The 21,169-nt window shown below is 35.8% G+C and overlaps 1 protein-coding gene across 20 annotated transcripts in view, besides 2 other annotated features; it reads left to right on the top strand.

The window, feature by feature from the left end:
* The window catches only part of GPHN (gephyrin), a 1,227,209-nt gene that overhangs the window by 300,180 nt on the left and 905,860 nt on the right, over nucleotides 1–21,169 (top strand). For all 20 annotated transcript variants that reach the window (XM_047430879.1, XM_011536340.4, XM_017020913.3 and 17 more), the window contains exon 4: nucleotides 16,148–16,240. In XM_047430879.1, the coding sequence (XP_047286835.1) occupies nucleotides 16,148–16,240 (93 nt within the window). The remainder of the gene's footprint in view (nucleotides 1–16,147; nucleotides 16,241–21,169) is intronic.
* Nucleotides 1,330–1,499: an enhancer, noted in NCBI's record as "experimental_35856 CRE fragment used in MPRA reporter constructs". NCBI's record gives its function as "activates a minimal promoter by MPRAs in K562 erythroleukemia cells, with activity observed for both the introgressed and non-introgressed 14:67276459 variant alleles {active_cell/tissue: K562}" and the evidence as "EXISTENCE:reporter gene assay evidence [ECO:0000049][PMID:34662402]".
* Nucleotides 13,288–13,457: an enhancer, noted in NCBI's record as "experimental_35883 CRE fragment used in MPRA reporter constructs". NCBI's record gives its function as "activates a minimal promoter by MPRAs in K562 erythroleukemia cells, with activity observed for both the introgressed and non-introgressed 14:67288417 variant alleles {active_cell/tissue: K562}" and the evidence as "EXISTENCE:reporter gene assay evidence [ECO:0000049][PMID:34662402]".

Raw genomic sequence — 21,169 nt, forward strand, 5'->3', positions numbered from 1 at the left:
TTTGCCTTCTTACTCTCTTAAAAGTATCTTTGCTGAACAGAAATTCCTAATTTTAATGTATTGGCTTGTCAATCTTTCAGTTATAGTAAATATTTGTTAAGTGAATGATCTTGAAGGAGTTCAGTGTCAGCTACAAGAGATAATCATTGTAAAACATAAATTCTGTATCAAATTTATGTATAAAATATTTTAGACCAGGCGCGGTGGCTCACGCCTGTAATCCCAACACTTTGGGAGGCCGAGGCGAGGATTACGAGGTCAGGAGTTTTAGACCAGCCTGACCAACATGGTGAAACCCCATCTCTAATAAAAATACAAAAATTAGCCGTGCGTGGTGGCCTGTGCCTGTAATTGCAGCTTCTCAGGAGGCTGAGGCAGGAAAATTGCTTGAAACTGGGAGGCAGAGGTTGCAGTGAGCCAAGATCGCACCACTGCACTCCAGTCTGGGCAACATAGTGAGACTTCATCTCAAAAAATATGTATATATTTTAGATATGTATAAAATATTTTGGAACACAGAGGAAACAGTGACCAATTCCAACCAGAGTGTCAAGGAATTCTTCATGGAGAACATGATGGGAAGGACTTCTAAAGCAAAAGAAATATGAACAAATGTACTAAATGTAAATAAGCATTGTGGTTTTCAGAAGTTCAAGTGTGGCTAAAGTCAAGGGATTATTAATTCTATTTGCAGGAAATAAGAAGGTAAGTTAGGTTGGAGTCACATTTTAAAGGAGCTGTATGTTTTGGTCGGGGGCATAGTTTCTAAAGATTTTGAAGCAAAGGAAAGACATTTTCAGATTTGTTTCAGGGGATATACTGTTCTTATCAAAATGGATTGATAAGAGACAGAGACAGACCACTTAGTGTGCTTTATAGCAATCTAGGTGAATGATGATAAAAATAAGGCTTATGCCTGTGGCAACAGGAATGGAAAGTACTGGGGGTATATCACAGTGGTTAATAAAACAGGCTCTGCTCCTTAATAGGATTGTGACCTTATGTGTATCTTAACCATTCAGAGTTTTCCTAAATAATAATAATAATAATAATAAAACCTACTATTGTCATTACGAATATTAAATGTTTGTAAAGTACTTAGCAAAGTACTTACATAGTAAAGGAAAACTGTGTGATATGATTCAAATAGACTTCAGAAACAAGAAATACAAAAAAGATTAATTCAGGGTTTTCACTTAGACAGCTTCTTAAGAGTCCCAGTCCCTGAGTTAAGGAATTCAAAAGAAGCAGCATATTTTGGGGGAATAACGACTATTAGGAGTCTCTATGGCATACAAGTAACACCATACAACTGGAAATCTATTTGCTCCTCCAATTAAATAGTGTAGTCCTTATTTCTTATTTGTTCAGTGTTAATGATTTTCATCCCTTTTGTTTTCTCTTCTGGTACTATTCACTTAACTGAGAGTATGCTTTACTGTGTTATTCTCAGAATAAGAGCATCCCAGAGGATTCGTGGAAGAAATGCAACACTTTCGAGTATAAACTATCAAATAGCCAGGTTTTCTCTCTACTGTATTTGATCACCTAGTCCCTTATTTTTTTTAAAGCAGAACTTAGTATTACCATTGTATAATGTGGAGTAGGTAATTTTCCTCTCAAATCAGAACATTCTGATCTGGTAAAGCTAAGAGTTCTTGGCTCTCTTTGAAAAGATAGATTAAATCTACCTGTCTTTTTGCTATTTTTTGCTGCCTATAGATCAGTGTTATATTGTTCCTCTTACTAATTATTATATAATATATTTACACAGAAGTCTTGGCTAAAGTTCCATCAAATTATTATACTTCTTTAACCTTACTAAAATGAATTTCCTCCACTATTCTTTACATATAAATACATGTAATTTATATAGACATATGAAGTCTATAGTAACACCTATAGTACCAGTATTTCTTTACTACTGGAAAACTAAATCATAGTGACTATTATTAAAAATTACTTGAAAACCAGACCTCTGTATTCTCCATAGGGCTAAATATTAGTAAACTAAATAATAAAACTGTTTCCAGATTTTTTTTGTTAAAGATTTTTAAAGTATTAATAGAATTTAATTAATTACATAATATATATTATCCATGTCTAATTATTTGTCTAGCTATATTCATCATGGAAAAAAATGTTCAAAGGAAAATTGACATTATGTGTGAAACTTTGTCAAAAATATGTCATTGATGTTTGAGACAAGGTAATAAAACTATCACAGAAATTCTTCTTTTTCTTACTAATATATAATATTAATATGAAGATGTATTCTCACATCAAATTTTGGTATATACAGAAGTCAGTAGTAATATGATTTGGCCGAGTACCTTTGCTTTCATAATAGTTTTATAATCTTTGTGTGTGTGTATGTGTACATACAAAGAGGCACTTAATTTTTTAGTTCTTGTTATGTACCCAAATTTATATCAGATGCTTTCTGTTCTCATTTCCTTTCATTCTTCTAATGGTGGTCCATGTTTCAATAACTTGCCTATGAGCACAAAGCTAGTAAGTAGACTAAAACTGGAATGGGTACCCAAGTCTGTCTTACTCCCAAACCTATTCCTTTTCTGTTACCTCTGCTTCTACTTCCCTGCCTTACAGTCAGAAAATTTATAAAGGTAAACAGTTTGTCAATGTGAAAAACTAAAAGTAGTTTTTAAAGTATGCAGAATATTGTGCAGACTTAAAATCATTATAGTGAACTACATTTATTAATACAGATTGATTATTTATGACATATTGTCAAATTGAAAATGCAAATTAAAACATCCATGTGTGGAAACAATAAACCCTGGGGATTTCAGAAGCAGGGAGGAGCAGAGTAGGGACAAGGATTGAAAAACTACCTGTTGGGTACTATGTTCATTACTTGGGCAATGAGATCATTAGAAGCCCAAACCTCAGCATCATGCAATATACCCATGTAACAAACCTGAACGTGCACTCCTGAATCTAAAAATAAAACGTAAAAAAAGAAAGGATTTGTCATTCTTGAAAGGACAGAAAAAAATTCATGTGTGTGTATTTTTTTATGTATGAAAATATTTATGGAAGTATGGTCAACAAAGGTTTAAAATTGGTTGTCTAATAAAATGTTTGTGATTTTTAAATTTCCTTATACTTTTTTGTTGATTGAATTATTTTTGGTCTTTTTAGTAAGCATGTATTTTAAGAATCATAAAAATCACTTAAGACTACTCTTACATTCAGCAAAAAAAAAAAAAAGAAACAAAATATAAGAACAGGTTAAAATATAGAAAATGTATTTTTCACCAACTGTCATTTCTAGAACCTAGTTTACAATTGTATAACAGATGATACATTTAATTAAATCTCTTACATATAGTCATCCATTTTTTGCATATTGCATATTCTAGAGCAGTGAGTAAAATGGCTTGAATGCCAAACTCATGGATTTGGTACTACATTTTATTGACAAATAAAATAATAGGTGTTTAAGCTACTTTGAGAATAAGCTTCATTCCAGTATAATTGAATAGCTCCTATCAGAGCTCCTATCTGTATCACAAGTAACTATTATAAACTCTAAACCAAACAAAGAAACAATAACTATCTGAAAGCACTGGAGAGTGCTCTATAAAGTAGACAGATTCTACCATTTGGAAGAAGGCACTGGTTGATTATCCCATTCTTAAAACTTTTAGCCTGAGAGTAGGCCCCAATCTGGCCTAACTGGCAGCTAAAACCTGCTGGCTTCTTGGCTACAAGAATGGTTTGGGAAAACTATAGCTACATTAAAGTAAAAAGGGAAATCCTAGAAAGGAGAGAGCCAAAGAGGGGAGCCTGAAATTCTATAAATAAACTCCCTGTATTTCTGGCTGACCTCTGAGCCATGAATGAGCTGGGTAGACTACAAACAGCACAACTAGGGCTAAAGGGATTGAACTGAAATTTGAATTGCCATCCTCTGCATAGCAGAGTTTGCAGTTAGGTCTGCCGAAGTCACTGCTTACTAAAATTTAAAAAAATCAATATTATAACAAAATCCAGTGTCTATTCAACATATCACTCAGTGTCCAGCATATAGTCTGAAATTATTTCACAAAGAAACAAGTGAACATGACCCATTCTTGCGAGAAAAGATAATCAATTGAGACTAACCCCAAGATGACCCACCTATTGTAATTAACAGACAAAAATTCTAAAGCAGCTTCTATAATCATAATCAAGCAGTAAAGGAACATATGCTTGTAATGAGTGAAGAGATAGGAAATCTTAGCAGAAAAAAATAGAAACTATTGAACCAAATAGAAATTTAAGAAGTGAAAAAGAAAGTAGCTGAAAAGTGTTTTCAGGGTATCTTCTTTAAATTTAAGACCCCACCTGAGCCAGTGAAATCATTTAGTAAATATATAGCATCATTAAATAAAACTACTAATCCAGCTCTATAAAGCAGGTTGAATTGGCTTTCAAACCAACAAAATTTATTCCTACTTATTTGTGTTTGGGAAGTTTTTACATTGTTTGCTGTTGGAACATATTAATGTATCCATGCATGTTGAAATTATATGTAGAATGAAAGGAAAATTAGAAATATTCAAGATTTTACTCTGGAAAATTATCTTTGACTACAAGAGAGAAACTGCACTGAAGATAATTATTTTAGCTTAGCATTTTTTATGGGTTATACAGTATCAATTTAATAGTAGATAGCAGAATAGCTAGTTTAAGAGTTCTATAAACTACCCTCACTGACAGTCTGATTCCTTTATATAATTTTTTTTACTGAAGTCAAAGTTATAATATTAGGGAAAAGTACCATTTCTAATCAAATATTTATACCACGTTTAATTTTTTGTGTATGTTTTGCTAATAGTGCCTACTATAAACTCAAATTAATAACTTTTATAATTATTTTATAGTTGAATTCAAACAAATGACAACAAAAACACTAAAAGAATGGTTTGCAGGGGCAAGGGCAAGATGGCCAACTAGACACAGACAAGTGGAACAGCTCCCATGGAAGTACTGAGACAACAGGCATGCTTTTAACAGATCTTTACAGGGAAGGCATCAAGAGTGGACCAGGAGAAGACATAGAAGCTGGGCTAAAGGAAGAGAAAGCTGGGAACGCTGCATGGACTTTTGTGCACCAGGACTCATTTTTGAACCACAACAGCTCCAGGAGCATGGGTGAGTTGAACTGGCAAGGAGCAACCCGCTCTCACCATGGGCCTCTGGAACCCCAGCAGGAGGGGACCCCTCAACCACCACAGACACGTGAGGTGGCAGGGAGAGTTACTTAGGGAAGTCTTAAGGGCAGCAAGCCAGCTGATGTGGAGCCCAGAGGGTTTGGTGCAGAAGTAACTGTAGTGGAGCATGGCCAGGGACAGCCATCCCCCTAGACTTCACTTGCTCCCATAAGAGACTTTAGTCCTAGGAGAACTGTTGGACCTGATCTGTCCAGGGAAGTCTTGCGCAACAGACAGGGCTGGTCTGACCTGAGCCCTCCTTGGTCTGCTGGCCTGTCCTGGGGCCCTAGCCTGGTCATGCCTGCTGGCAGGGCAGTCTTGAGGTCCCTGGGTACCCACGCCGTAGCTTCAACACTGATGGACCATGCCTGACCAGTAGAGAGTTTCGATGAGGCATCCCTATGGCCACGCACCAGCCTGCACGCTCCCTCCCCAGCCTGTGCAGCTTTCCTAGACCCATGGCACTCCCCACATCACTTTGCTGATGCATGTCTACACAGGTGGCTTTTGCTTTACTTGCCCAGCCAGCACACAGGAACGCAGTCTGCCCTCCTCCCTTGCTGACCACCATTGCAGACACCCTTGGTAAGCACAGAGCTGGCAAGTCTCACTCCTGCCAGCACCCCACCCTTGCACTAACATTGCACAGAGAACAGCAGATCATCCCACACCCTGAACAATCACTCTTATTTGAGGGGCACAGAGAAGGCACCCAGATCTATGATGGTCAGCACCCTGCCCCCAAGCCAACACCACCTCCAGTGCAACAGCACAGTCTCTAGCAAGGGCCCCCCATCCCCCACCAGCTGTGTTGCCTCCACCACTATGGTGAACACCTGCAGGGAGGCAGGCACCCCTGCATCTGTTAGCACTCTTCTGCAGATGCTGCACCTCAGAACCCCAGCACAATGGACTGAACCTCAAAGAGGTCAAACTGGGGCCCAATGCAAGTCCCCCAGAGTTAGAGCACACAGTCCAGGAGTTGGGAGCTGAGCATTGGCCTCCTAAAATGTTCCAAAAACAAGATTGGATTCTTCCAGTCAGCTGAATGCATCTTATACCATAATCAAACCCTCAAGGTTATCAAATAGGATAAAAGAAAAAAAATCCAAAGGTCAGCAACCTCAAAGATTGAAGATAGATAAGCCCACAAAGATGAGAAAGAATCAGTGCAAGAATGCTGAAAACTCAAAAAGCTAGAGTACCTTCTTTCTTCCAGATGACCACACCATCTCTCCAGCAAGGGTCCAGAACATGGCTCAGATGGCTGAAATGACAGAAATAGAATTCAGAATATGGGTAGAAATGAAGATCATTGAGCTACAGGAGTATGTTGAAACTCAGTGCAAAGAAAGTAAAAATCATGATAAAACATGGCAGGAGTTGACAGACAAAATAGCCAGTACTGAAAAGAACATAACCAACATGATAGAGCTGAAAAACACACTGCAGGAAGTTCATAATGCAATCACAATTATTAATAGCAGAATAGAACAAGCTGAGGAAAGAATCTCAGAGCTTAAAGGCTGGCTTTCTGAAATAAGACAGGCAGACAAGAATAGAAAGGGAAAAAAAGTATGGAAGGGAATGAACAAAACTTCCAAGAAATATGGGATTATGTAAAGAGATTGAATCTGCGACTGATTGGTGTCTCTGAAAGAGATGGGGATAATGGAACCAACTTGGAAAACATGTTTCAGGTATCATCCATGAGAACTTCCCCAACCTAGCTAGAGAGGCCAACATTCAAATTCAGGAAATGCAGAGAACTCTAATAAGATACTTCACATGAAGATCATCCCCAAAACGTAATCATCAGATTCTCCCAAGTAAAAATGAAAGAAAACATGTTAAAGGCAGCTAGAGTGAAAGGTCAGGTCACCTACAAAGGGAAGCCCATCCAACTAACAGCAGACATCTCAGTTGAAACCCTACAAGCTAGAAAGGACTGGGGCCCAATATTCAGTATTCTTAAAAAGAATTCCAATCCAGAATTTCATATCCATCCAAACTAAACTTCATAAGCAAAGGAGAAACAAGATCCTTTTCAGACGAGCAAATGCTAAGGAAATTTATTACTACCAGACCTACCTTACAAGAGCTCCTGAAGGAAGCACTAAGTGTGGAAAGGAAAGACCATTACCAGCCACTACAAAAACACATTGAAGTCCACAGATCAGTGACACTAGAAAGCAACCACATATGTCTGCAAAGTAACCAGCTAACATCATGATGACAGGATCAAATCCACACATATCAATACTAACCTTAAATGTAAATGGGCTAAATGCCCCAATTAAAAACACAGAGTGGCAAGCTGGATAAAGAACCGAGACCCATTGATATGCTGTCTTCAAGAGACCCATCTCACATATACAATGGCATACACTGGTTCAAAAAAAAGGGATGGAAACAAATCTACCAAGCAAATGGAAAACAGAAAATGCCAAGGGTTGCAGTTCTACTTTCCGACAAAACAGACTTTAAACCAACAAAGGTTAAAAAAGAAAAAGAGGGGCATTAGGTAATGGTAAAAGGTTCAAATCAACAAGAAGATCTAAATATCCTAAATATATATGCACCAACACAGGAGCACCCACACTCATAAAGTAGGTTCTTAGGGACCTTCAAAGACACTTAGACTCCCACACAATAATAGTGGTAGTCTTTAACACCCCACTGACAATATTAGATCACTGAGAAAGAAAATTAACAAATATTCAGGTCCTGAACTCAGCCCTGAGTCAAATGGACCTGATAGATATCTACAGAACTCTCCACGTAAAAACAACAGAATTTACATTCTTCTTATTGTCACATGGCATATATCCTAAAATTGATCACATCATCAGAAGTAAAACGCTCTTGAGGAAATACAAAAGAACTGAAATCATAACAAACAATCTCTAGGACCACAGTGCAATCAAATTAGAAATTAAGACTGAGAAATTTACTCACAACTCTACAATTACATGGAAACTGAATAACCTGCTCCTGAATGACTGTTTGGTAAATAATGAAATTAAGGCAAAAATCAATAAGTTCTTTGAAACTAATGTGGACAAAGATACAACATACCAGAATCTCTGGGACACAGATAAGGCAGTGTTAAGAAGGAAATTTATAGCACTAAATGCCATCAAAAAAGTTAGAAAGATCTCCAGTTAACAGTCTAACATCACAACTAAAAAGAACTAGAGAACCAAGAGCAAACAAATCCCAAAGCTAGTGGAAGACAAGTAATAACCAAAATCAAAGCTGAACTCAAAGAGATTGAGACAGAAAAAATGTCTTTTGTAATGGATGAGTATAAGGCTCCAGATAGATACAGAGAATGATGACTTATGTAAACTTACTCTCTCTTAGCTCTATTACTGTCCCTGTTTTTCTGTTTGATGAGTTGTTTACTCTTTGGCAATAATTTTGCTAAAAATTTCTGTAATCATGTTTTTTATTGTTAAATAATGTAAATGTAAAGAAAACATTATATATTTATAAATACATGTAGTATTTCCGAAAGTTTTCTTAAAAAGGGTATACGATCTCTAATAACACCATAATATACTGATCTATTATGTTAATATACTGATCTATTATTAATTTGTTCATATCTCTGATGTCTGTAACATCAAGCACATTTGTCATGGTTTTTAAAATAATATATATGTGTGTTTGTGTATGTGTATACATATATATATGACACATGCTGGGCATAGTCATTGCACATACTAGGTATTTGCATGTTTCTTAAACTGAAAATTAACTTATATAATCATATTCTTAAGACTTTGTGCCAATTTATTTAAATATAATACATCAAGCTTACCTTTAGAACTATTTTGAAGCTTTTTATAAAAGATAAACTTATCACTAATGAAATATAAATTGGAAATAGTCAGAAAAAGAAGAGGATGCCAAAATGTTAACTGTGAAACTAGTTGTTTTTGTATTGTATTGTTACATTAAAAACCACCACAAAATGTGGTGGCTTTAACACATATAGTGATTTGTTATTTTTCACAAGTCTGGGCTTTCTGAGTGGGAATATTTTCTCATGTCATTATTTCAGCCACATGAGTCTAAGGTCACTCATGTAGCTGAAATAATGTCACCTCAGTTGGGTCTGGAGAATCTAAGCCTCACTCAGATGTGTAGGACCTTGGTGCTGGATATTCCACTAGACCTTTCTCTCCAAATGGTCACCCATCATTCCCTTGTCTAGCCCAGCCTTCCTGACATGGTAGTAGAAGTTTACCAAAGAGTGAAGACAGAAGAATGGAAACCTTTTGAAACCTAGGCTTCAGAACAGCCATACCATGACTTATTGCCCCATTCCATTGATCAAATCAAGTCAGAAATCCAGCCCAGTTGCAAGGGTTGTAGAAATAGACCCCACCTCCTGACAGGAGGATTTACAATGACTGTATGACCATATTTAATTTACCACAGTAGTATATGTGTAATTATTAAGTATAAAATTTATTTCTAAACTTACTGACCATGAGTACTAAGTATCAGAATGAAGAATGAATAAATGTTTATAATCCCTCTTTTTTTTAACTTTAAATTGAAGTTTAGGGGTACATGTGTAGAATGTGTAGGTTTTTTACATAGGTAAACATATGTCATGAGGGTTGGTTGTACAGATTATTTCATCACCAGGTATTAAGCCTAGTACCCATTAGTTATATTTCCTGCTTCTCTCCCTCCTCTCACCCTCCACCCTTCAACATGCCCCACTGTGTGTTGTTCCCCCATGTGTTCTCATCATTTAGCTTCCACTTCTTAGTCACAACAAGTGGTATTTGGCTTTCTGTTCCTGCATTAGTTTGCTGAGGATAATGGGATCCAGCTCCATCCGTGTCCCTGCAAAGAACATGATCTCATTGTTTTTTGTGGCTGCATAGTATTGCATGGAGCATAGGTACCACATTTTCTTTATTCAGTCTGTCATTGATGGGCATTTGGGTTGTTCCCATGTCTTTGCTATTGTGAATAGTGCTACAATGAACATACATGTGCATGTGTCTTTATAATATAATGATTTATAATCAATTGGGTATATACTCAGTAATGGGATTTCTGGGTCGAATGGTATTTCTGTCTGTAGGTCTTTGAGGAATCGCGACACTGTCTTCCACAATGGTTGAACTAATTTACCCTCCCACCAACAGTGTAAAAGTGTCCCTTTTTCTCCACAACCTTGCCAGTATCTGTTATTATTTGACTTTTTAGTAATATTCTGACTTGCATGAGATGATATCTCGTTGTTTTGATTTGCATTTTGCTAATCAGTGATGTTGAGCTTTTGTTCATATGCTTATAGGACACATGTATGTCTTCTTCTGAGAAGTGTCTGTTCATGTCCTTTCCCCACTTTTTAATGGGTTTTTTCCCTGTAAATTTATTTAAGTTCCTTGCAAATGCTGGATATTAGACCTTTGTCAGATGCATAGTTTGCAAAAGAATTGTCTCCCATTCTGTAGGTTGTCTGTTTACTTTTTTGATAGTTTCTGTTGCTATAAAGAAGCTCTTTAGTTTAATTAAATCCCAGTTGTCAATTTTTGCTTTTGTTGCAATTGCTTTTAGTTTCTTTGTCATGAATTCTTTGCCCATGCCTATGTCCTAAATGGTATTGCCTAGGTTGTCTTCCAGGGTGTTTATAGTTTTGGGTTTTATATTTAAGTCTTTAATCCATCTTTAGTTAATTTTTGTATATGGTGTAAGGAAGGGGTCCAGTTTCAATTTTCTGCATATGGCTAGCCAGTTCTCCCAGCACCTTTTATTGAATAGGTTGTTGCTTGTTTTTGTCATGTTTTTCAAAGATCAGAGAGTTGTAAGTGTGTGGTCTTATTTCTGGGTTCTCTGTTCTGTCCCCATTGCTTGTTTTTGTCAGCTTTGTCAAAGATCAGACAGTTGTAGGTGTGCGGTCTTATTTTAGGGTTCTCTATTCTGTTCCATTGGTCCATGTGTCTTTTTGTGCCAATATCATGCTGTTTTGGTTACTGTAGCCCTATAGTATAGTTTGAAGTCAGGTAGTGGGATGCCTCCAGCTTTGTTTTTTTGTTTTTGTTTTTTGCTTTTGTTTTTGTTTTTTTGCTTAGGACCACGTTGGCTATTGAAATCCCTTTATTTTTTTAATGATACATACAAATTACAAAGAATTCAAACAAGGCAAAAATGTAAAAAGGCAGTAAAAAAATAAAATGTACTTCAAAGCTAACTACCCAAGAGTAATAAATATTTAACATTGTTTATAAAACATTCCAACATCTTTCACTGCTTATTATGTAGCTAGAAGAATGTATGGATGTTTAAATGAGTGAAAGACATAGCTATTTAAACAATTAGGATAATTTTCTGAAGCTAATATATAGTAGCATTTATTTACACTTAAGCAGAAGAAAAGGGAACTGAGTAAAAGAGCCTATTGACTTTGAAATAACTGTTTTTTATTAGAAGAGATATTATATGCTGAAATCCCTCTAAATTTTAAAAAATAGGAAAGTCATTAATAGGTTACAGTCATATGTTAACTATATGTTAAACCTTAGACAGGATTGGTTGAATCCTTGCTATGAAAGATAAGGATATTTGCACTATTACATTTCTTCCCACCTACCCTCTCCTTACCTTCCAATTTCTGTTTATTATATGATTTTCAGAAAAAAACTGATAAAACAATATCCAGTCCTCAAACTAGTGCTTATTTCAAACTTGTTGCAGAGATGTAGGAAGAAAAACAAAAAGTCAGCCCAGACTGTATCAGATCTGGAACTTGCACAGAAAAAAAATAGGGGAAGCAAGAAACCAGAGACAACATATAGTCTTTGTTGGAATACTCTGCTCTTCTGAAATTTTATTAATGTCCAGTGCTAGAATCTTTCTTCCTAGATAAGGGTTTAGCTCATCATTATGTGAGGACTGTCATCAAGTTTAAGATTAGTTTTCCATTTCAGTGTGCCTTCGTTTCTAGAATCTTCATCTTGAATGCCATGAGCCCTCCATTGCATGTTTCTTATAGAAGCTGCTTACAATAAGAAAAAGATATGGAGTCTCTTTTAGTTTGCATCTCTGTAGATTTAGAGGTATTCATGAGAATTTTTAAGATTTTGAGAATTCACCATTATGACCTCTTTGGAGTCCAGAGTAGCATTAGGAGCCTCAAAATGGAGAACTGTGTGTCTCAAAGATCTTTTGTTTCTGTCCTTAACCATCCAGCTTTTGAGACTTACGAAGCTATGTTGTTTGCTTATTTGGTTGTTGCTTGTGGAGGTTTTTCCTCTAGTTTTTACTCTTTTATGTTGATTTTATGACATATTAGGAGGGGGATTTTTGTGATACACCTTTATTCTACTAAAGATGAATGGAATGGAATACTAGAAATGCAAGGCAATAATTTTTTAAAGAAATATCCTCCACATAAGGAAAAGTTAATCACTAAAATAAACAATGTCCTCAGCCTCACTTTTGCAACAGATGCAGAGGGACTTTTCATAAGTTGCTTTCATGAAAAAATCTTCAATGACCTCTTATTTGGTAGAGGCAGCTGAATATTAAAGTTTTGTCAGAATAAAGTGGATCTAACAGGTGCAGAAACAAATATGGCAAGATAAATTGCTTTCTAACTAAGCTAAGATAAATTACTAAGTTAAATAAGATAAATTTAATAAGTTGGTACAGTAAATAGCTAAGATAAACTGCTTTTTAAACATGATAGAATAAAAAGACTCAGTATCTAATGTGGCACATAGTTCAGTTTAATATGTATACATATATCACCTTGAGGTATCTTTCTTAAAATGCAGCTTCTGATTCAGTAGATCTTGGATGGAACTTCAAATTGTGTATTTCTAATTCCGTGACACCACTGGTGCCAGTTCTCAGATCATACTTTTAGTAACAAGATTCTAGACAACTATAGACTAAGAGCTCCTCTACTTGACTGAATCCTTGAGACCAGAGATACTGCCTTATTTATCTTTGCATTGCTGTTCTCTAAGGAAGTACCTGAATAAAAGTTTGCCCTGAAATATTTTCTTGTTAAATGAATTAATGAATCAGATGCATGACAACTAGGGGCCTGGAGAACTGGTATTCTATACTGGTGGGTGAGGAAGAATTCTTTTGTTTTGAAAACCAAGTGACTGAATGATAGGATTTCTATTTTGTCTTAAAATCTAAAAGCCTTACTAAAATTTTTGCTCACATGAAGTCTGCCATATATCACATTAGCTACTTTGGCCAACAAAATATTACCTCCCAAATGCTTGAATAGATTCTTAATTGCTCTCAAGATAACAAATGTTATTCAAGTGAAAGAAATCTATATATTAAGTGTTACCAGTTATCCATCCTGGAAATAGAAAAACTTTAGTAATATTACTGTAATAAAACTGATTTTTGTTTGTTTGTTTGTTCGAGACGGAGTCTTGCTCTGTTACTCAGGCTAGAGTGCAGTGGCACATTCTCGGCTCACTGCAACCTCTGCCTCCCTGGTTCAAATGATTCTCCTGCCTCAGCCTCCCGAGTAGCTGGGATTAGAGGCACCCACCACCGTGCCCGGCCAATTTTTGTATTTTTAGTAGAGACGGCGTTTCACCATCTTGGCCTGGGTGGCCTCGATCTCCTGACCTCATGATCCACCCACCTCGGCCTCCCAAAGTGCTGGGATTACAGGCGTGAGCCACTGCGTCCAGCCAACTGATTTTAAACTGTATGAAATCTTTTTGGGCCTACCCAACTATCTGTGAAATTTACCCTTGAGTAATTGAACAGATCGTCTCCTTAGACTAGTAGTTTTCAGTTGCTGGCTACATTTTAGAATTACCTGGGAAGCTTTTAAAAATCCCAGTCAGTGCCCAGGCTATACCAAAGAGGTGAGACCCAAGTATTTTTTAAAGCTCCGCAGATAATTCCATTGTGCACCCAAGGATGAGAACCATTACTTGACTATTAGCTCTTTGAAATCTGAGTCAGTGTTCCTCTTATTTTTAACTTTTAACACTTAATACATGGTAGGTACTTCATAAATGTTTACTTAGTCAACAGATGAATTATGTTATAAGGAAGTATTATCTGAGGCAAAACAGGAGCATTCTTCAGTATAAAGGGACCATTTTTACTATGTTTATTAGCATCTTAAAATTTGAAAAGTTTGAATACCCTCTTAATGTTAATACTGAAAGTTGGTATTTGATATAGATAAACATTTTGGTGTTGAGATATTTTGTTGATGCAACTTGGATTTCATATCACTTTTTATCAAGATTTGATATAAATGGATTGTGATCAGAGGTGAGAAAACTGTGGCACAGGCATTTCACTACCGTAATGGAAGTACTTAAAGGAATGTTACAAAGAGATCTAAGGTGTTCTAGGATACATCAGTCGGAAAACAAAGATGGTTAATCTACACATTGCTGAGTTGTGGTATCAACCGTGGTTTTGTTTTTTGTTTATTGTTTTCTTGAGACAGAGTCTCATTCTGTCACCCAGGCTGGAGTGCAGTGGCGCGATCTCAGCTCACTGCAACCTCTGCCTCCCAGGTTCAAGTGATTCTCTTGCCTCAATCTCCTGAGTAGCTGGGACTACAAGCGCGCTCCACCATGCTTGGCCAATTTTTGTACTTTTAGTAGAGATGGAGTTTTGCCATGTTGGCCAGGCTGTTCTCAAGCTCCTGACCTTACGTGATCCACCCGCCTCGGCCTCCCAAAGTGCTGGGATTACAAGCATGAGCCACTCACCCAGCTGGTTTTTTTATATACCAGAAAGAATAGAGAGCTATTTATAAGAGTGAGTATTTAAGCTTTTCTGCTTTTTAAAATGAAGCACAGACAATTGAAGTTTTAACTTCGGTTTATGAAACCACTTTATAAGCACCTGTATTATAATAATCATTGATTTTTGAGGGGCTTTCCTCAGAACAAAATTATAACTATATCTGGGATCAAAGTTCTTTAGATGGGCTCTCAGTTATCTACAATTTATGTTTTTAAAAATAGTTTGTTGCCATTAATTAATCATTGCACAGAAAAGTTCCCTTCATTTGGAGCTCTGAGCTCTGCATTTCTGTGATACCAGAATAAAACACAAACTGAAAAAAAAGGGAAAAAATCATTTTTTAGGTCTTGGATTTATTCTAAATAATCATCCTACATTTTGTGTCACTGATGAATTTGAGAATTGTGGGGACCGTATTGTACATCTCGGTATCAGCCTGCTATTTGTATTTCACAACAGTTATCGGCAATTAAATGATGAAATTCTATTTTTAAATTTTGACTCTGAATTATAAAAACGTAATGAAACAATGTAATACCAATGCAAGTATATGATTATAATTTAATGAGCACTTAATTGCCCTTTTTAGCAAATAGCTAAAATGTAGAATGGGTTGATAGAATTAGCAAGAATAAGAAAAGTCAGCAGATGGAGATCCTAGTTTCACTTTGTTATAAACTAGGTGTGTAATTTTGTAAATTATTTAAGCACATTGTACTTCAGTTGTCTCTTTAGAAAATAAAGAGGCAAATCTGCTAAAGACCCTTCTAGCTCCAAAATTTTATGACATGTAATTCTAATCTCTATAACTGTCATAGTAGTGCATTTTGAATGGCTGAAAAGAACTTCAGATAAGCCATTAATTATAAACTCTTTATTTACGGTTTTCTTATGTTTTATTTACTTTCAAGAATTTGATACTTGCATCCTCATTTTCTATAATTAATAAAATAAGTACTCAAAATTTCAGTGCCTTTTGATCAAGAGTGAAACTGTTCCATGAATTGTGCTTAGAAATTTTCTTACTGACTGTTGAAAAGAATCTGTGTTTCCTCGTTGAATACAAAGTGTCCTAGGACTGGGATGTTTTGAGCAAGCAGGCAAATTTTTCTGCACATGACTATACTATTGTTTTCTTTCAGGAAACCCTGATAGATTGGTGTGATGAAAAGGAACTTAATTTGATATTAACAACTGGAGGAACAGGATTTGCACCACGAGATGTCACTCCAGAGGTGAGATAGTACATGCCTTTTCATATTCAAGGATTAAACTAATCATGGTTTTTTTAATCCTTTTTACTATATTTATATTATTTTTATAACTTTGCTAGGCATAACAAATGACTTGTAGTTCTAATAATGTGAAAATTTTGCTGTGGATGAATTGTGAAAAATGTTTCCTGACTTTTTTTCTTTGGGCTTAAACTAGAAGTGATAGAATATGAGGAAGATTAAACTGGTCCAGAGGTAATCTGTCATTTTCTTGATGTCAGCCTAATTTCAGGCACATTTCCAAAGGAAGTGATAGCAGAATTCTGATGGTTAGCATGGCATCTGGTCTGATGTGCTTTGTCAATACAATTCTTTTCTTGAGGTACCCTTTTCATTTGTCTAAAATTACAGTAAGATGACTGCAATAGAATATACTGATTTTACAGTACTTTTGTTGAAAAGGGATATATTTTCCACAATTCTAAATGTGAACAGCATTTAAATGCAGAATTTAATGAGCCCAAAAGTAGAATTAATATCTAGGCTTAAGACCACAGGAAGCATCTTCAACTATTTTATATATAGGAAGAAAAATTAGGGAAAGAATGAAGAATAAGCACTATTAACTAATATGGGGGGGGATGTATTTTTTCTTTAAGGAAGCCATAAACCACAGATGTCACCTCAGAGCTATACATAAAATTACATCACCACTTGTGACATTGTTTCCTTTACCTACCCAACCCCCCAAAAGTGTTTCTTGGATCAGTTTCAACTTAATATTTACTATGTCTTTCTATTTCAAATCAGTACACTATTGTATCTACTACCTTATTAACATTCCACAAGGTACTTTTGCTCTGCATCTATTAAATAATTACTGGCCTTCTTATAATAGTACAATGGTTTTCAAACGTTAGCCTGCATCAGAATCAATCAGAGGACTTATTAAAACACAAATTGCTTGACCCCCCACCCCTAGAGTTTCTGATTTAGTAAAGCTGCAATGGGTCTTGAGAATCTGTATTTCTAACAAGGCCCCAGGTGATGCAGATGTTGTCGTTGTTGTTGGACCATAGACCATATTTTCACTATATGAAAATGCAATTTTAAGAATTATTTTTTTTCTATTCCTCTATATAAAAACCGTGGTACATAAACTTTTGATATTATTATAATTAGGGTTTTAAATAAAATAGTTTTGGCTTTTAAAGCAATCAAAATCGAGTCGTATTGAGAGGTTAACTTCAACTGCATAAAGTCATCCTTACACAATTTATTTAGCTTCTGGCTTCTATAGTTAGTGGTTCTTTGGCAAAGTTTTACATTTCTTTTATGCTATGACTGACTGAAAAAGTACAATTGGGAAGGAAGCCATCTCCTGCAGAGGTGTGCTTGTGTTTTGTTTCTTTGTAAGAACATTGACTACTTATGTTAAGATATGGATTTTTGGAGTTTGGGTGCTGTCTTAAGTGTTTTAGTAAATCACTTTGCGTTTATGTATGCCTATTTTTTGTGTGATGGTTTGATATTTTCATATTTTTTCATAACAGAAAAATAGAAAAAATTTCACCAGAAAATTAATTCATAACCAAATAACAGTATTATTTTTAATTCCTTGGATAATTGATCGTGGGGAAATAATTTACATCACAAAATGTTTTGTATCCTACTGGGCTTTCAGTTAATACAAAATGCTAGGCTGAAAATTCAAACCTTTGAATTCTGGCTCTGCTACTTATCAACAAGGTGACCATAGACGGAGTGCTTTTACTCACACTTCTGATGCTAAATGTGGGTTTTTTTACTCGAACCAGCCAGTTCTTCAACTCTCCAGATATCAAATGTCCTTCTTTTTATTTCAATTAAATTCTGACACTACCTACCAGGAATTAGTACTAGACTCTGCAGATTTAAGGGCTGTGTCCACAAGATTGCCTTCACGTCACATGCCAGTGGCAAGTACCAGATCCCCAGGCTAGTCAAAATTCTGTCCTACTTGACTACAAAGTCAGTTGGTTCCCAAACCGCGTCCCCCACCCCACTCTGCATTTTCAGATTCACTAATTTGCTAGAATAGGTCCAAAACCTCCTGGAAACACTTTACTTATGCTTACCAGTTTACTATAAAGGATACAATTTAGGAATAGCCAAATGCAGGAGATGCACAGGGCAAGGTATAGGGGCAAGGAGGTTCCATCCCCTCTCAGTATTTAGCGCCCCTCCGGCACCTTGATGTGTTCATCACTCTGGAAGCTCTCTGAATCCCATTGTTCCAAGATATTTTATGGAGCTCAGTCTCCAACCTCACCCCTCAGTGAGTGGAACTGAAAATTCCAATGCTCATAATAACTTAGTCTTTCCAATGACCAGACCAGCCCCATCCTGAGGCTATCTAGGCACCCACCCTAAGTCGTCTCATTAGCATAAACTCAGGTGTGATCTGAAGAGGTTTGGGCCTGGCATGGTGGCTCACACCTGTAATCCCAGCACTTTGAGAGGCCCAGGCGGGTGGATCAGTTGAGGCAAGGAGTTCAAGACAAGCCTGGCCAACAAAGTGAGACCATGTCTTTACTAAAAATACAAAGAATTAGCTGGGCATGGTGGCACACGCCTGTAATCCCAGCTACTTGGGTAGCTGAGGCATGAGAATCACTTGAACCTGAGAGTAGAGGTTTCGGCGAGCAGAGATCACAACATTGCACTCCAGCCTGGGTGACAGAGGGAGACCCTGTCTCAAAAAAAAAAAGGCGGGGTGAGGGGGGTGCAGAGGTTTGTTAGGAATAACAAAAGGCACTCTGTACTGCTATCACTCAGGAAATTCCCAAGGGTTTTATGAGTTCTATAATAAGTCAGGAACCAAGAAGAAAGACCAAATGTATTTTTATCTTATACCTTAATAGACTAGTCATTTAACCACTCTGTGCCTTAGTTTTCTATAAAGCGAGGGAAATAAAAGCACCTATTTACCAAGGTGGCTGTGACCGTTCAGTGAGAACTATTCCTGGTATTTTATGTAAGAGTTAATTTATAAGAGTTAATTTTTTTTATTTGTTGCTATGTAACTTATGTAACTACCAAATGGACACATTTGATAGTTTTTCTTTTTTGCATGTAATACCAGATAGACAACTATAGCCTTTTACTTGTTTTGAAGTATGTCCATGAAGTCTTTAGAATCTTGTTAAATTATTTCTTAATTTTGGTAGGGTAAGCTTCATATTTGATCTCTTCCATCTCTATATTATATAAATCAGAAATCTTGAATTTCTGCTATTCTAGTATCTAGGTTTTGTTTCTTTTCTTTTTTGGCACTACTAGTTGACAAGTGTCTGTTTCCATGGCATTGTATATTTCATTATTCAGAAATTGAGCAGTATTTTATTCTTAAAGTTTTTCAGTTATTTGAAAACTATTGAGGTGCTCTTATATTCATATATACCTATAGCAGCTACATAGTTAAAATTATATTAGAGGTTTCTTAAATGGATTTAAAATATACATAAATATGTCTTCTCTAATACCTGTTTTTGAAAAGAAGCAATTTACCTGATTGTGAATAACTTGATCTTTAATAGGTTCACTTCATATTTTATATGTATATATAAATACATATGATATGAATATCTATGGCAAAAGTTTGTAGCAGTCGTGGGCTATTAAATAATACTAATAAAATAAATAATAAATAAGCAAACATAAAATCAATATAGGCCCACTAAAAAGTAATTCTACTAATTTCCCTTTTACTTTACATCGTAGAGTAGTTGCAGTTCTTATAATATCTAACGTATAATATTGATGTGTCAGAAAGGAATTTAGAAATATAATCCTCGCTGAATTATATACTGATTTGTCTGTTTTGATAGTTGTATCTAAAGAGAAGAAGCTGTTTCTAGACACATTTACCTATATTATATACATCAGGATTGCCAATATTTTTAAATGAGGTCAGAAGTTATTGGTAGAAAGCACAAATACTAATTTGATAAAAGTAAAACAATGTAAAACTTCTCCCTTAAAATCCTAATAATGCTTTATAGTCGATGATTGTCAGTAATTAGCTTAATCTGTAAAGCACAAAGCAAAATTGTTTGTGGATGTGTGTGTTGTAAGAAAAAAAATGAAGGATGAAAATGATGAATAGGATGAATGAAAAAAAACAATCCAAAGATTTTGTCAATGGGTATGAGCTCTAGATAAAATGAAAAATTTAATCAACAGATTTCTCTCCAGGTCTATTAAAAATGAGAATAGAATATCAAGTATAGTAAAGTTTATCTTCTTTATTATATATTTTATAGGAATAGGGCTATCAGAATTGATTTTCCTAAATTATGAATTTGTTTATATTTTTAGGCCCTGCATCATAGAATATGGTTCATCTGATACTTGCATGCCTTCTAGCCTTCTCCCTGCCTCTAAATATGAGATGCTATCAAAACTTACATATGAAAGCATGATAATTCTCACTCATCAACTTTTTAGAATTTTGTCTTGATAATAAAAACTGGTTTTTAATAATAGATTGCTTGCCTTTTTTTTTTTTTTTTTTTTTTTGAGACAGAGTCTCACTCTGTAACCTAGGCTGGAGTGCAGTGGCATGATCTCAGCTCACTGCAACCTCCACCTTCCACGTTCAAGCAATTCCTGTGCCTCAGCCTCCTGAGTAGCTGGAATTACAGGCGTGCACCACCAAGCCCAGCTAATTTTTATATTTTTAGTAGAGACAGGGTTTCGCCACATTGGCCAGGATGGTCTCAAACTGCTGACCTCAAGTGATCTGCCTGCTTCGGCCTCCCAAAGTGCTGAGATTACAGGCATGAACCACTGTGCCTGGCCAGATTTCATTTTTTTCTGGTCCGATAAAGGTTGGATAATTCATTGGCACTAGTGAAATATTAGTAATTATAAAGTTCCACAGATTATGAAACTCATTTCTATACAAAG

Source organism: Homo sapiens, chromosome 14 (assembly GCF_000001405.40).
Source record: "Homo sapiens chromosome 14, GRCh38.p14 Primary Assembly".
NCBI classification, from domain to species: domain Eukaryota; kingdom Metazoa; phylum Chordata; class Mammalia; order Primates; family Hominidae; genus Homo; species Homo sapiens.